General features: G+C 43.4%; 1 pseudogene, besides 1 other annotated feature; it reads right to left on the reverse strand.

Annotated features, from left to right (window-relative positions):
• Window positions 10,979-11,529: an enhancer, noted in NCBI's record as "NANOG-H3K27ac hESC enhancer chr2:133160772-133161322 (GRCh37/hg19 assembly coordinates)". NCBI's record gives its function as "activates a minimal SCP1, AML or CMV promoter by ChIP-STARR-seq in naive H9 embryonic stem cells {active_cell/tissue: H9 hESC(naive)}" and the evidence as "EXISTENCE:reporter gene assay evidence [ECO:0000049][PMID:30033119]".
• On the reverse strand, window positions 14,532-14,638 carry RNU6-175P (RNA, U6 small nuclear 175, pseudogene; annotated as a pseudogene).

A 17,301-nucleotide genomic window follows, 5' to 3' on the forward strand; every position in this document is an offset into this window, starting at 1 on the left:
CCATCTCTACTAAAAACACAAACAAATTAGCGAGGTGTGGTGGCACATGCCTGTAATCCCAGCTACCCAGGAGGCTGATGCAGGAGAATCACATTAACCCAGGAGGAGGAGGCTACAATTAGCTGAGAATGCACCACTGCATTCCAGCCTGGGGAGACACAGTGAGACTTCCTCTAAAAAAAAAAAAAAAAGAATGCAATCCTCTTTCCATTCTACAACTGAGAAAGAAGTCACGTGGTGGCTAGTGATAAAAAGAACAGGTGGCAGTTCTCCTTACCCCTCATGTCTCCATGTGTCTGAGATCCAGGGACATTTAAAATACTGCTGAAAGGTCAGGGGACATTGGTGAAAACAACTATGCAAGCAAAGAATGTTTTTCTTCCTGTGCAGAGAAAGAAAATCCCACTTTCTCTGTGTGTAAGCCATGGTATGTGGGCTCCCTGAGCCCAGTGAAATATGCAGAGATGGTAAAACTGTATTAAAATCTGATTTTCTTTTTGTTAAAAAGATACCCAGGAAGAAACTATTTCTTTTCTTCTTATTATTGGATATTGTCTTTTCTAGGCTAGGTACCTGGAAGTGAGACAGCTGTCTCTATTAGGAGTGCTAAGCTGGCACCCTGGGATGGCAGAAGAAAAGAGGGAAGGAACTAAGGTTTCGAAGATGAATATTGGGAGTGACATGAAAGAGTCTTGGAAGCGAGACGCTTCCAGCCTTCTTTTTATGTGCAACATTAAGTTTTCCTTATTTTTTTAAAGGAAGTGCAGTCAGCATTTTATATTCTGCCAATGAAGCCATCCCAAGGAGATTCTTTGAGATTCTGACACATCATCTGTTAAAGGGAAATAAACAGTGGAGAGCTGGAGCCGGCTCATACCAGCCAATTGCTAGAATCTCCTCTTAACTCTTCATTCAGTGGCATCACATAGGAAGCTCCAGTGAAGTCATGTGGATGTGGAAATTCACTGTGGTGGGAATATTTAGATGACAAAAATCAGCAACGCTACAAATTGGGGCTTTTTTAGGAGTCAGTTTACCAGCACACCGCTGGAAAATCGTGCAGAACCATTGAAAGCATTAGAGATATGTCTAAGGCCTCTGTTAATGGGCTTGCTATAGCAAATAGAATTTACTGCATTCCCCCCTTGCTCCTGAGAACCTCCCCCACTGTACCACCATACCTCCTATAGCTTCTGAATACCCCCATTACACCCCACTGCTCCTGAACAATCCCATTGTACTCCCCACTGCTCCAGAGACCCCCATTGGATCCCTGGCTCCTGATCACCTTCCACTGTGTCCCCCCTCTGCTCCTGATCACATCCCACTGTGCTCCCCTCTGCTCCTGATCACCTTCCACTGTGTCCCACCTCTGCCCCAATCACCTCCCACTGTGTCCCACCTCATGCTCCTGATCACCTCCCACTGTACTTCCAGCTGCTCCTAAACAACCCCCAGAGTACTTCCCACTTCTCCTGAGCACCCTCCACTGCAACCCCATACTATTACTGAACACCCCCACTGCCATAACCACCACTGTTCCTGAACACCCCCACTGCTCCCGAACACCTCCACTGTACCCTGACTACTCCTGAAAACACTTCAGTGTATCTCCTACTCCTCCTGAACACCCCCACTGTACTTCCCACTGCTCCTGAACACCCCACTGTACTTCCCACTGCTCCTGAACACCCTACTGTACTTCCCACTGCTCCTGAACACCCCACTGTACTTCCCACTGCTCCTGAACAACCCCACTGTACTTCCCACTGCTCCTGAACACCCCACTGTACTTCCCACTGCTCCTGAACACCCCACTGTACTTCCCACTGCTCCTGAACACCCCACTGTACTTCCCACTGCTCCTGAACACCCCACTGTACTTCCCACTGCTCCTGAACACCCCCACTGTACTTCCCACTGCTCCTGAACAACCCCACTGTACTTCCCACTGCTCCTGAACACCCCCACTGTACTTCCCACTGCTCCTGAACACCCCACTGTACTTCCCACTGCTCCTGAACACCCCCACTGTACTTCCCACTGCTCCTGAACAACCCACTGTACTTCCCACTGCTCCTGAACACCCCACTGTACTTCCCACTGCTCCTGAACACCCCCACTGTACTTCCCACTGCTCCTGAACACCCCACTGTACTTCCCACTGCTCCTGAACACCCCACTGTACTTCCCACTGCTCCTGAACACCCCACTGTACTTCCCACTGCTCCTGAACACCCCACTGTACTTCCCACTGCTCCTGAACACCCCACTGTACTTCCCACTGCTCCTGAACACCCCACTGTACTTCCCACTGCTCCTGAACACCCCACTGTACTTCCCACTGCTCCTGAACACCCCACTGTACTTCCCACTGCTCCTGAACACCCCACTGTACTTCCCACTGCTCCTGAACACCCCACTGTACTTCCCACTGCTCCTGAACACCCCACTGTACTTCCCACTGCTCCTGAACACCCCACTGTACTTCCCACTGCTCCTGAACACCCCACTGTACTTCCCACTGCTCCTGAACACCCCTGCTATATCCCCCACTGTTCCTGAACACCCCCCATTTCTCTTGAACTCACCCCTCCCTCACTGCTTCTGAACACGGCCACTGTACCCTGCACTGCTCTTGAACACTCTCCATTGTACCCTGACTACTCCTAAAAACACCTCACTGTACCCTTTACTGCTCCTGAACATCCTCCTACTATTTCCCCCACTGCTCCTGAGCACCCCCGCTGTATACTCACTGCTCCTGAGCACCCCACTGGATCAGTCACTGTTCCTGAACACCCCCACTGTACCCCCTACTGTTTCTGGTCACCCCTTCACTGCACCCCCACTGCTTCTGAACACTCCCCACTATATACTCACTGCTCCTCAACATTTCTACTCTTCCCCCGACTGTTCCTGAAAACCTCTAACTGTACCACCTGCTGCTTCTGAACACCTCAACTGTACCCTCTACTGCTCACGAACACCCCCACACTATATCCCCCATTGCTCCTGAACACCCTCACTGTACCTCTCAGTGCTCCGGAATATCCCCCACTGTAACCACTATCCCCAAATATCCCCCCACTGCTCCTGAACACCATTCGCCCTACCCCCAACTGCTTCTGAACACCCCACACTGTAATCACCATTGTTCCTGAATATTGCCTCACTACTCCTAAACAGGCCTACTGTACCATCCGCTGCTCTTGAACACCCCTCACTCTATCCCCGACTACTCCTGAACATCCCCTCTGCTCCTGAACACCTACCCACTATATCATTAAGTGCTCCTGAACACCCCAGTACTCCTGAACACTCCACTGCTCCTGAACACTCCCTCTGTACCCGTAGTGCTCCTGAACACTTCCCACTGTACCCACTAGTGCTCCTGAACATCCCCCACTACTCCTGAACAGCCCCACTATACCTCCTGCTGCTCCTAGACACCCCCACTGTACCCCCTGCTCCTGAACACCCCACTGTACTCCTTACTGCCCTTGAACACACTCACTATTCCTGAACACCCCCCACTGTACCCCTCACTACTTTTTTTTTTTTTTTTTTTTGGTGACAGAGTTTCACTCTATTGCCCAGGCTGGAGTACAGTGGCATGATCTTAGCTCTCCGCAACCCCCACTTCCCGGATTCAAGTGATTTTCCTGCCTAAGCCTCCTGAGTAGCTGGGATTACAGGTGCACGCCACCACCCCTGGCTAAATTTTGTATTTTTAGTAGAGGCAGGATTTCACCATATTGGTTAGGCTGATCTCGAACTCCTCACCCTGTGATCCACCCACCTCGGCCTCCCAAAGTGTTGAGATTACAGGCGTGAGTCACACCCCTCATTACTCTTGAGTACCCCCCACTATATGCCCCATCTATATCACTGTTGAACATCCCCATCTATATCACTCATGTACTTCTGTACACCCCTCACTGTACCACTCATTGCTTCTGAGGCCCCTCCCCCATCATAATCTCCCCCTGGCAGTCAGTGCAGTTACCATTGCTATGCATGGCTGTCACTGCTAATCATTGATATGTGCTTTTGTATATCTGTCACTCATTTATGGTTTAGAGTCCCTGTAGAAGCCTTCAGTTGGCTAAGCTGAAGTCATATGTGCACACCCTCAATGCCAGAAGGTAGGAAGAGAGAAGATCTGTGTGTTGTGACTAGCTGTGCCTCTCCCACCACCAAGACTCCATGGTGGAGTCCAGGAACTAGGAAGGAGATTCACATGCTGCGTAGAAGAGAAAGAACCTGGTAAACACTCAGTGTTTCTGCATAAAGTGAATCATATTATTGCTCTTTGGATATATGTTTTCTGTTGGGTGATGTTTGAGGTGGTCTCAGGTCATTTTTCTCATGTACCTCTGTGGATAGTTAGTGATGGCCCAGTCCAAAATGTACACATATTTTTCTCAAAGAGGAGAGCAAAGTCTATATAGTCGTTCCTTGGTATCTGTGGGAGATTGGTTTCAGGACCTCCTTCAGACACCAAGATCTGAGGATGCTCAAGTCCCTCATATAAAATGGTGTAATATTTGTCTCTAACCTAAGCACATCATTCTGTATACTTTAAATCAGTGATCCCCAATTTTTTTGACACCAGGGACTGGGTTCATGAAAGACAATGTTTCCATGCACCGGGGTGGGGAGATGGTTTTGAAATGATTCAAGTGTATTACATTTACAGTGCACTTATTTTCTATTATTATTACATTGTAATATATAAGGAAATAATTATACAACTCATCCTAAAGTAGAATCAGTAGGAGCTCTGAGCTTGTTTTCCAGCAACTAGATGTTCTGTTCCATCTGGGGGTGATGGGAGACAGTGACAGACCATCAGGCATTAGATTCTCATAAGGAGCACACAACCTGGATCCCTCACATGAGCAGTTCACAATAGAGTTCATGCTCCTATGAGAATCTAACGCTGCTGCTGATCTGACAGGAGGCAGAGCTCAGGCAGTAATGTGGGTGAAGGGGGGCAGCTGTAAATGCAGATGAAGCTTCCCTTTCTTGCTTGCTTGCCCTCGGCTCGCCTTCTGCTGTGCAGCCCAGTTCCTAACAGGCCACAGACCAGTCCCTGGCTGTGGCCTTGGGGCTGGGGACCCCTGCTTTAAACCATTTCTAGATTACTTCTAATGACTAAAACAATGTAAATGCTATGTAAATAGTTCTTATACTGTATTTTTAAAGTCTGTATTTTTTTATTGTTGTATTGTTAGTTTTTCGTTTTTATTTTTTTGAGTATTTTTGGTCTGCTTCATTGAACCCACAGATGTGGAACCCATGGATATGGAGGGCCGGCCACATTCCTTTTTATTAAGGTATATTACAGAATGTATACACAAGTTTCCTTGGTTCCAAGAAACAGACTGATTCTAGCCAACTGAGAGAAAAAGGACTTATGGCTAGGAAACACTTGAGCTGCTCCTGGATCTGGAAAGCTAGTCAAGAAACAGGGTGGCTTTCGCAATGGTTTCTGTCTTTCAGGATGGATTTGGTCTTTTTCTCGTGGCTCACATGGGCTCTGTAACTTGGCATCACTACTTCTCTCCTGCTTTGGCTGATTTCCTGCTCCGGCAACCTGGCTTGGATTTTGATTTGGTTCATTACTAATCGTTTGTTGGGTAGAAAGCCTCAAGGATCTTTGGCTAGGCTAAGGAATGAGCCTTGTGCACACACAGTTTATTCAATGACCACCTACCCATGCCCAAAGAATCACATAGAGCTGTTTTCCTGAACACCTTGATTAGAAAGGGCTTTTGGGTGTGGCAGACACCATGTCTCATCTGTGTCTGCTTTGAGGTCCCCTAATTGTGACCCAACTCCTCTCCCTGTCCTTGGGAAGTCATTGTCACTTTTTGGAAAATAAAGAAACCATTATTTAGTAAGGATTATGCATTGCATCTGCTATTATGCATTATATACCTTATCTCAAAGAATCCTCACCTCCTCTCTCTGAGGTAGGCATTACTCCTAGTTTACATACGAGGAAATTGAGGATCACCGAGGTTATGACCCTGAGGTAAGGTGGCGGAGCTGGATTTCAAAATATATATATATATATATATATATATTTTTTTTTTTTTTTTTTTTTTTTTTTTTTTTGGAGACAGAGTCTTGCTTTCTCACGCAGGCTGGAGTGCAGTGGTATGGTCTTGGCTCACTGCAACCTCTGCCTCCCAGGTTCAAGCAATTCTCCTGCCTCAGCCTCCCAAATAGCTGGGAATACAGGCACATGCCACCGTGCCTGGCTAATTTTTGTATTTTTAATAGAGATGAGGTTTCACCATATTGACCAGGCTGATCTGGAACTCCTGACCTCAAGTGCTTTGCCTGCCTCAAAGATAATAAATAATTTGTCTGGTCTTTGTCCTGGGTTCTTGGCATGGAGCTTCTAAAACCCATGGAGTTTCCTGGGTGATAGCAGTGGGTTTGTTATGGTAATGAGGTGACTCCTGGTAGGCCCATACATAGCTTCAAGGTAGGGGCTGGTCACCAGAAAGACCAGCCACAAGGTAGGATTTTGAGCCAGCCTGACCTCCAGGAAGGGGCGTGGTGGCTGGAGATTCAGTTCAATCATGTGCCTAGTGGTTTAATCAATCATACCTATACAAGGAAACCTTAGTAAAAACTAGACACCAAACTCAGTGGAGCTTCACCAGTTGGTGAACACATTATTGTGCTGGAAGGATGATGTGTCCTGATTCTACAGGGAAAGGTCACGTAAGTTTTGTGTTTAGGACCCTCCCAGACCTCATCCTATGCATCTTTTCATTTGTCTCTTCCTGATATGTATGCTTAATAAAATTGTAATCATAAGTATAGCACTTTTCTAGGTCTGTGAGTCATTTTAACAAATGATTGAACCTGAGGGCATTGTGGAACTTCGAAATTTGTAGCCAGTCAATCAGAAGTGTGGATAACCTGGGGACCCCTGAACTTGCTGCTTGTGTCTGAAATCAGGACAGTCTTAGAGAGGACTGAACCCCTTACCTTGTGGAACCTGTACTAATTCCAGGTGGTTCATGCTGAAATAGAGGTGTAATACACTCAGCTGATGTCAAAATAGTGAGGTTTTCTTCATTATCCTTTGCAATATTTATCTGACTCTTTCATTCCAGTTTTTTCCACCTTTTTTTTCTGGGATGTCTTTATTAATTATTTCTTCAAATATTAGCTGCCTTCTGTTTTCCCTCTCCTTCTGAAATTTTTATTTTAGGCACTGGGTGCCATGCATGAAGTTTGTTGGGGGAGTGTCTTTGGAACAACACTTGGTAAGGAATGAAGAAAGAATTAGGCAGGGGCAGTGGCAGAATTTGCCACATCACAGCCAAGGTCTGTCGATCTCACTGGGAGTAGGGATGGCCTCTTTGAATTGTTCTCAGTTAAGGCTCTACCAGTCATTGGATCCAGGCTGCCCTCAGGAGGGTGTCTGATTTTGGATGAAGCAGCTCTCTTCATCTAAACTGGAGAGGGACTCAACTGAGAGTTGGCAGTCACCAGTCCTCCCATTGAGGGAGTATTGAGGAAATGAGCACTTCATTACTTAAGGGGAAGAATCTGGGTCGGAGTTGGCTAACAACAGCCCATGTGCCAAACCCAGCCCACAGCCTGTTTTTGTTAAAAAAATTAAATAAATAAATAAATAAATAAAAGCTTACTTGGCGTGTCTGTCTTCACATAGCCTTTCCTCTGTTCATGTTTGTCTTTAACGTCTCCCCTCTTCTTATAAAGGCACCAGTTGTATTGGATTAGAACCCATCCTAATGATTTCATCTTGATTATATTTGCAGAGTCCCTATTTCCAAATAAGGTCATATTTACAGGTACCGGGGGTTAGGACTTCAACTTATATTTTGGGGGAGGGAACCACAATTAAATCCATGGGAGCCAGAAAATGTTTTCATTTGCCATTTAAGGAAACTTCTGTAAGGAAAAACCCCATATCCCTGTTGCAGGTGTGATGGTGAAGCAGGTGTGAGAGCTGAGCAGGCAGGAGTTGCACAAGTGATTCCCTTGTCTATTACTTGAGTGGCCAGACACCAGGAGGCAGCAAGTAGATTTCTCCACCGCCTCTGACTACTGAAGCCCTGGGAGTTGCTTAAGCTTATCTACTAACCACCTTGACAGGCTTGTAAAAATTTTGCAACATCATTCTTAAAAAAGAAAGAAAATCCAGCAGCCAGCAAACTGTCCATAACAGAGCCAAATGACTCACTGCCAGCACTGCTCTACATGTTTTAGGAAGTCCTTATCATCTTTCCACCAACACATCCAATTATTTTCTAAAGCAGCTTTATTCCCAGAGGATGCGTTTATTTTTTGGTGTAATGGCATCTATCCCAAAAGTTAACCCCTGATGGTTACCAAGTGAGAGGTATCTCCAGAGGCATAATGGTCAGTGTTTAAAAACCAGCACTCCAAAAAGAAAAGCTGGGGTGGGGGGGATGTGCTGATATAGTCTTTGCCAATTTCCATGGTGTAAACACTCCCACAATGATTAATTTCAAACTACTAATGTGAAGTACTGAACACAGAATTGAGAAGAGATATGTACAGTTAGCTTTCATGAGCTGATATGAAGCAACTTCAGCACATCACTGAATATCTCAATATAGAGAGAAAGGAGTATGATTTGAGATGTACAGGGAAGACATTCTGGAGGAAGTAGGATTTGAAATGGACTTTGAAGGGTGGCTATCATTTGGTGGTATCTCTAGCATTACACAGCCAGCCACATCAGTTTGGCAATTTGCTTCTGTCCTACTAAGACTAAACTATGAGATTCCTGAGGGCAGAGAACGTGTTTTATTCATCATAGTAACCCTACAGTAGGTGTTTCACAAGTATTTGTTGAATGCAGGAATGGAAAATGAATAAATAGAGAGGGCAAAGGAATTTTAGGCAGAGGGGACATTCACGGTGTGGGTAGGACAGAGTGGGAAGGAATAAATGAACAGGAGGTTTTGGGTTCAGTGAGTGGTCCATACTTGGAGTATAGTGTTGGGACATGTGGTATTTCAGTTATTTATGGCTGTGTAACAAGCCATCAAAAATTTAATGCCTTAAAACATTAACACATTTGTTTTGCTCATAAATCTGGAATTTAAACAGGGCTCAACAGGATCAGCTCATTCTGGTTCATATGGCATCGACTGGGGTGGCCTGAAGACTGAGGCTATAATCATATGAAGGCTTGCTCACTCATGAGCTGGGAAGACTCAAAGAGCTAGGGATTTGAATAGCTGAGGCACCTTGAATATCTGACTCTATGAGGGCTCCCTGCATGGTGTCTCCAGTATGGCAGCCTCAGGGCAACTGCAGTTTTTTGTACCAGCTCAGGGCTCCTGAGATGTATATCCTAAAAAGAGCAAACCAGGAAGAAGCTGTACCCTTTGGCTGACATACCCTTGGAAGTTACACAGCATCACTACACCATAGCCCCTACTCAGATTCAAGGAGCGGAAACCCAGAATCCACTTCTCAGTGAGAAGAGTGTGAGGAACATTGTAATAAGACCATTTGGGATGAAACACATTTTTTATATATGCGATATATACATATGCTATATATTTTCCATGTATAGTGTGTGTGTGTGTAAATACATTGGAGCGGCCACCATTGGAAAATATAATCTGCCACACATAGTAGATGGAAGGTTGAAAAGTTGGATGAGGCCAAATTGGAAGGGGTCTTGAATGTCTTAGTAAAGAGTTTGCTCTAAGACATGGAACCAACCCAAATGCCCATCAATGATAGACTGGATAAAGAAAATGTGGCACGAATACACCATGGGATACTATGCAGCCATAAAAAGGAATGAGATCATGTCCTTTGCAGGGACATGGATGAAGCTGGAAGCCATCATTCTCAGCAAACTAACACAGGAACAGAAAACCAAACACCACATGTTCTCACTCCTAAATGGGAGTTGAACCGTGAGAACACACGAACACAAGGAGGGAAACATCACTCACTGGGGCCTGTTAGGGGGTAGGGGGCGTGAGTGGAGGGAACCTAGATGATGGGTCAATAGGTGCAGCAAACCACCACGGTACACGTATATCTATGTAACAAACCTGCACCTTCTGCATATGTATCTCCGAGCTTAAAGTAAAATTTTTTTTTTAAGAAAAGGGTTTGCTCTATTTTTCCTCTAGAAGCAATTGGCATACTAGTTGCTGATCCTCCCCCAGGGTTCCACATATGTAGGTTCATCATCCCCAGCAGGTCTGCAAGACTAACAGGTAGCATCATCATGTCTTTTTATTTTATTTTATATTTTATTTTATTTGATGTGGTCTCACTATGTGTCCCAGCCTGGTCTCAAACTCCTGGGTTTAAGTCATCCTCTCGCCTCAGCCTCCCAAAGTGTTGGGATTACAGGTGTGACCCACTGCATCCAGCCCTTAGAGATCTTTTGAAAAAAGAAACCTCCCTCTGGCTGGGCACGGTGGCTCATGCCTGTAATCCCAGCACTTTGGTAGGCCAAGGTGGGAGGATCACGAGGTCAAGAGATTGAGGCCATCCTGGCCAACATGGTGAAACCCCATCTCTACTGAAAAAAATACAAAAATTACCTGGGTGTGGTGGCATGCACCTGTAGTCCCCGCTACTTGGGAGGCTGAGGCAGGAGAATGGCGTGAACCTGGGAGGCGGAGGTTACAGTGAGCCGAGATCACGCCCCTGCACACCAGCCTGGTGACAGAGCAAGACTCCATTTCCAAAAAAAAGAAAAAAAAAACCTTCCTCAAATGTCAGGGCTCTGCATTTGATAGCACCTCAGTACTTGAAATCCAAGTGTCTATTTGCCCAAGCAAATAATGATGGCAAATCAGACCACACTGGACATGCTTCTTGCCTGTCTCCCAGCTGGCACAAACCTGCATCTCACTTGGGCAGGTGATAATGGGGTGGCCTGTGATGGGCTACACTGGTGACAGCACTGAGTATCAAAATTGTCAGAGCACATCTAGATTGACTCTGGGCTTATTGCCCAACAGCTCAAAGAAGAGGCCAAATCCACCGTGTTGATTCTTGCTGAACACGTCACACCTAATGCTGATTCCATCTGCCAAGGGATGCTGGATCCAGACAGAATGCAATTTGCATTCACAGACCCCAAGGTGCTAGTCACTTCCATTCAAAATTGTGGCCTTTCTCTGCAGGGTCTCTATCTAGCCTGTTTGAAGAATTCGAGGTGAGGACACACTAATTGGCTTTGACTGTTTTTCTGAGACACAGATGGGGAGAAGCTGCCACTGAGTTTTGGATGAGTGTCCTTCGTCTCTGTCCTCCATTCTTTGATGACTTCTCTCCTTGCAACAGTGAGAAATTTGTTTCTGGCCATAAGGCAGTTGTTGGGAGGAATCCTGAGACAGTGTGCTCTTTCCCATATTTGTCAAACCACAGATGTTCCCCAATGGAGAGAAGATGGTTGCAGGAATACAGGGAAGACATTGTAATTAATACACAATCCTTCCTCTTGCTCCCGACTTGAAATGGTCTGCGTTCAAAAGTCTGGAACTAAGAACACACATTTTCCCATAGAATAACAGTGCCAGGCCAGGCCCACAAATGCACATTTCATCTATAATGTGAGCTGAGAGAGAAAGGCAGACATCAACCAGCAGACAGGTTGGCTCAGCCTAAGTGCTTGATGCAGCTACCTAAGCTGGTTCTGCCGTTCACAGTTTTTTTCCATTTCTGAAATTTGGAGCCCCACCAGAGATTTCTTAAAAGCTGCAAGCTCTAATGGCAAAGGCAATGAGGGTCTGAACACTGGAGTGGCTAGTGCTAAGTATATTCATTTGTAGGACAGGATCTGCTTGCACTTTAAAAAATAATGAACTGTGGCTTCAGGTAGCTGACTTCAGGAAATTGATGTGTTTTTAATTTGTTTGTTTGTTTGTTCGGTTTCTCAATGCACTAGAAAGTTTTCACAATGAAACCACTGAGATGGGGGGGTGGGAGTGGCAGGGATGATGCTGCTCCTTCTGAGGCCTGTCCAATAAGCTGATTAACTCCGTCGGCACACGCCCAGTGCTAACGCAATTAAGCTCACGCTTGCAATCCCCCTTAGAGTGGCCATTTCGTTTTGCGCTTAGAAAAAGTATCATAAGGCCACAAACTATGTATTTAAGCAGGCCTCTTGCCACTTGTTTGCCACAGCTCTGCAAACAACCTGAAGCTTATACTGAGTGAAGATAAAGTTGGAGAATACAGAGTCCCTGTTGTTCAGTGAATTCTGTGTTAAGTGCTCTGTTTGGAAACAGGGAATTTTGCTGAATGAAACATCTTAACTGTAAGATTCCCTGTGTGTCATACACCCATTCTCATTGTCAGAGATCAGGAATTTTGTTTCTCTTGTATCTAGCACTTTCTACAATTAACATACAAAGATATTAATTTGGCAATTTCCTTCCTTCCTTGCTTCCTTCCTCCCTTCCTCCCTTCCTTCTTTCCTTCCTTCCTTCTTCCTTTCTTTTTCTTTTCTTTCTTTCTTTCTTTCTTTCTTTCTTTCTTTCTTTCTTTCTTTCTTTCTTTCTTTTCTTTCTTTCCTTCCTTCCTTCCTTCCTTCCTTCCTTCCTTCCTTCCTTCCTTCCTTCCTTCCTTCCTTCCTTCTTTTCTTTCATGTGCACAACTTAAAGTTTGGATATATAGATATATATATCTATATATCCACAGTGAGTTGATTACTAGTCAAGCAGATTAACATACCTATCACCCTATGTGGTTGCCTCATTTTTTGTGGGTGGTTAAGAGCACCTAAAATCTATCTTAGCAAATTTTCAGCATATAATACAATATTGTCAACTATAGTCCTCATGCTGTACATTAGATCCCTAGACCTATTCATCCCTATATAACTATAACTTTGTATCATTTGATCTACTTCTCCCCATTTACTCCCCACTGGTAACTACTGTTCTACTCTCTCTATATTTTTGACTTTATTTTAGATTCCACATATGAGTGAGATCATGAGGTATTTTTCTTTCTGTATCCAGCTTATTCCACTTAGCATATTATCATCCAGATTCATCCATGTTGTTGTCAATATCAGTATCTCCTTTTTTATGCTGAATAATATTCCATTGTATATACACCACAATTTGTTTTCCAGTCATTCATCAACTGACATGTAGGTTGTTTCCATGTCTTGGCTCTTGTGAATAATGCTGCAGTGAACATGGGAGACAGATGCCTTTACAAGGTGCTGATTTCATTTCCTTTTGGTTCATACCCAGCATAGGGGTTGCTGGATCATATGGTAGTTCTATTTTTATTTTCTGAGGAACTTTCATAGTTTTCCATAATGGCTGTACCAGTTTAGACTCCCACCAACAGTGTAGGAGGCTTCCCTTTTCTCCACATCCTCACCAACAATTTTTATCTTTGTCTTTTTGATAAAAGCCATTCTAACAGGTGTGAGGTGATATTTCATCGTGGTTTTGATTTGCATTTCCCTGAAGATTAATGGTATTGAACACCTTTTCCTATACCTGTTGGCCATTTTTACATCTTCTTTGGAAAAATGTTTATACAAGTCCTTTGTCTATTTTAAATTCAGGTTATCTGTTTGTTTGTTTGCTGTTGAGTTGTTTAAATTCCTTATATATTTTGGATATTAACCCCTTATCAGATATATGGTTTACAAATATTTTCTCTCAGTCTGTAGGATGCCTTTTCATTTTATTAATTGTTTTGTTTGGTATGCAGAAACTTTTGTTTGATGAGATCCACTTGTTTTCTTTTGCTTTTATTGCCTGAGCTTTCAGTGTGATATCTAAAAACATTCACTGCCGAGGCCAATATCAAGGAGCTTTTCACTATATTTTCTTCTACAATTTTATGGTTTCAGGTCTTACGTTCACGTCTTTTATTCATTTTAGGTTGAATTTTGTGTGTAGTGTAAAATAAGGGTCCAGTTTTATTCTTTTGCACGTAGCTATCCACTTTTCCCAATGCCATTGATTGAAAAGATTGTTCTTTCCCCATTGTATATTTTTGGTGGCCTTGTCTAAAATTAGTTGACCATATATGCATGGGTTTATTTCTGGGTGCTCTGTTCTGGTCCGTTGGTCTACATGTCGGTTTTTATGCCAGTACCATAGTGCTTTGATTACTCTAACTTTGTAATATAATTTGAAATCAGGAAGTGTGATGCCTCCAGCTTTGTTTTTCTTTTTCAAGATTGTTTTGGCTATTTAGGGTGTTCTGTAGTTCCACATGAGTTTTAGAATTGTTTTTCATATTTCTGTGAAAAATGCCACTGGAATTTTGATAGAGATTATGTTAAATCTGTATATTGCTTTGGGTAGCATGGCCATTTTAACAATATTAATTCTTTCAACTCATGAATATGAGATATCTTTCCATTAATTTGTGTAGTTTTCTATTTCTTTCACCAATGTTTTATGGTTTTCATATAAGGTTCGGATCTTTTACTTCCTTGGTTAAATTTATTCATAAGTACTGTATTCTTTTTTAATTAAAATTTTTAAACATTTTAAATGCAACACTTCACAAATTTGCATGTCATCCTTGCACAGAGGTCATGCTAATCTTCTTTGTATCTTTTCAATTTTAGTATATGTGCTGCCAAAGTGAGCACAGTATTATATTCTTTTTGATGCTACTATAAATGGGATTGTTTTCTTGACTGGCAATTGTTGCCATCCAACAATTTACATGCTTCTGGCTTGAATTGCAGATAAGCTCCTTCAGAGGAGTAAGTGTCTTACTACCTTATAATCTCTACAGTACTTTCTAGAAAGAATATGCTTATCTGGTATCAGTTGCTTTAAATTCAGTGGAATACAGTAAGACAGAGCATTCAAACAATACTAGCTCAACTCTAGTGGTACCTGGAATGTTTAGAATGTGCCTTATTTTCAACAGTATGACCACAGCAGCTCATCGACTGTGAGCATGACATCAATGACAATTAAAGCTTGCCTAGAACTTTGTGTGTGCCTAGCATTGTTTTAAGTGTTTTAGCTATAAGATGTCATCTGGTCCTGCAAACAATCCTTTGAGGGAGGGGTCTTGTTACTTATTTTTAAGTTTACAGATGAGGAACCTAAAGCATAGAGAGATTAAGAAATGTGCCCAAGGTTACATCTCTAGGGAGGAGCAGACTCAAACACAAGCAGTTTAGCTCCAGAAAATGTGTTCTACTTACTGAGTTATAATGCTCTTTTTTCAAAGAGCTAACCTACATATAAGGAAATACTATATACCAGGCACTTTTTAATGTAAACTCGTTTAATCTCACCACAAGCCCAAGAGATGAGTACTACTGTTATCTGTATTTTACAGATAAAAAAACTAAGGCACAAATAAGCTAAGTGAGTGGTAGAGCCCCATTTCAAACCCAGAAGATCTGATTTCCAAGTCTGTCCTCTCAATCATCATGCCACAGCACTCTCAGAAGAGTCAGAGGCAAATAGAATGCCAATCCTGAATTGATTTATGTAGATTTACATAGCAAGAGATGGTGGATCATAGGCTACTTTATAAGAAGACCCTCCCATTTTCCATCAAGGCTGAACATCACTATATTTAGGGACAGTTGTGCCTGGGGATATGCATGGTTTCTTCCCAAATAGGCTGGGAAAATAGTGCCAGGTGAGAAAAAAAAAGAGTTTGTATTTTGCTTGGAGTATTAAGATAAGGAGACCAAGGTCCAGGGGTATTTGTTTTTTCATAAGGGTAAAGATAAGGGAGAAGCAAGGAGAGACGACAAGTTGGCCCTGCTGTTTCCCTGTGCTTTGAGCTTGCAATGTGCAGGGCATGAGATTGGGAGCAGCCCAGGTAGAAGATGGTTCCTAGCATAAGATGGGGGGAAACGGGGATGAATACACTGGTGTTTGTCTTTCCCTAGACTGAATGGCCACTCTGCTCCCAGAGGCTAAGAAATGGAATGCCTAATAGGTACCAGGGAGACTCCCTGCTTTGCAGCTTATAGCCAACTTATAGGAAAAAAAAAGGTATGTGCTGAGCAGAAACCATAATTTATCAGCTGTGCCTTACCTAGCCAATGGGACACTTTCCTTTTTTTTTGATCCCTTTTATTAGATGAGGAAAGAAAGGGAAAGCAACACATAAAATGTTGATTTGAAAAAGAACATGATTTCTTAAGAAGAAATCTGAAGCCTCTCAGCTAGGGCTCACCTAAGAATCAAAGTGGCACAGCATTCCATCAGGGCCCAGGAATGACCATCAACTTATTAAGGTTGTGAAGCTGGAAGTTTTCGTAAAGACCTGCCATTTGTCACAGGACCTCCTTCAGCCTTTTCCTTGATATCCAGAAGGCTGGATCCTTAGGCTGTCTACCAGATGGCATTCCAGTGGGGAGGGAGGGAGAAAGGAAGGAAGGGAGGAAAGGAGGAAGGGAGGAAAGGAGGAAGGGAGGGAGAGGGGGAGGAAGGAAGTCTCCCAGTTACATATTAATGGCTTCTCAGGGTCTGACTTGTCTTTGCTCCTACACTCATCTTGCCAGTGAGCCCTGCAAGGAATGTGGACAGTCAAGCTACAGGCTGCTGGCCATGGACCACCTCTTGGGTAGACGAGAAGAGACACATGGTGGGTGTTTTACAGACATGTAGGTAGGAATTTGCAAATTGAACCAGCAAGTGTCTGGTACACAGTAGGTGTTTACTAATGGGAGTTGATACTGCTATTGACAATGTGAGAATGAGTGGCTGCAACTGTCATCCCACTGAGTGAAAAGCGGGGTTGATTCAGCTGAGCCATCTGGCAACACGGGTGTTCTTCCTTTTTTAAGAAAGTTTTGTTTTAAAGTATTATGAAATATGACACACAGAAACCCATAAACCATAAGCAACTGCATAAGGAAAAATAATAAAGCAAAGTATCATGTAATTGCTACCATGGAACTACTTCCCTGGTTAAGAAATAGAATATTGTCAACACTCAGAAGCTGACACCCCACCCCATGGGTCCTTACCAGTCATGCACCTTCCCCAACCCACAAAAGCTGACCTTGATCCTTTCATGGAAACGACACATTTGCTTTTAAGTAAATATATGTATGAATTGTATATATGTACTCTCTTCATATGACCTATATATCCACATATAAAATCTATATATTTCTAAATATTATGATTTTGTCTGTTTTTGAATCTTATATAAATGCACTCCAACATGATCTTTTGTGTCTCACTTCTTTCAGGCATCATTATGGTTGTAAGATTTAACCGTATTGTTTTGGAAGTAACAGTTTATTAGTTTTCATGGCTTTCTAGTAGC

Source organism: Homo sapiens, chromosome 2 (genome assembly GCF_000001405.40).
Source record: "Homo sapiens chromosome 2, GRCh38.p14 Primary Assembly".
Lineage (NCBI taxonomy): Eukaryota > Metazoa > Chordata > Mammalia > Primates > Hominidae > Homo > Homo sapiens.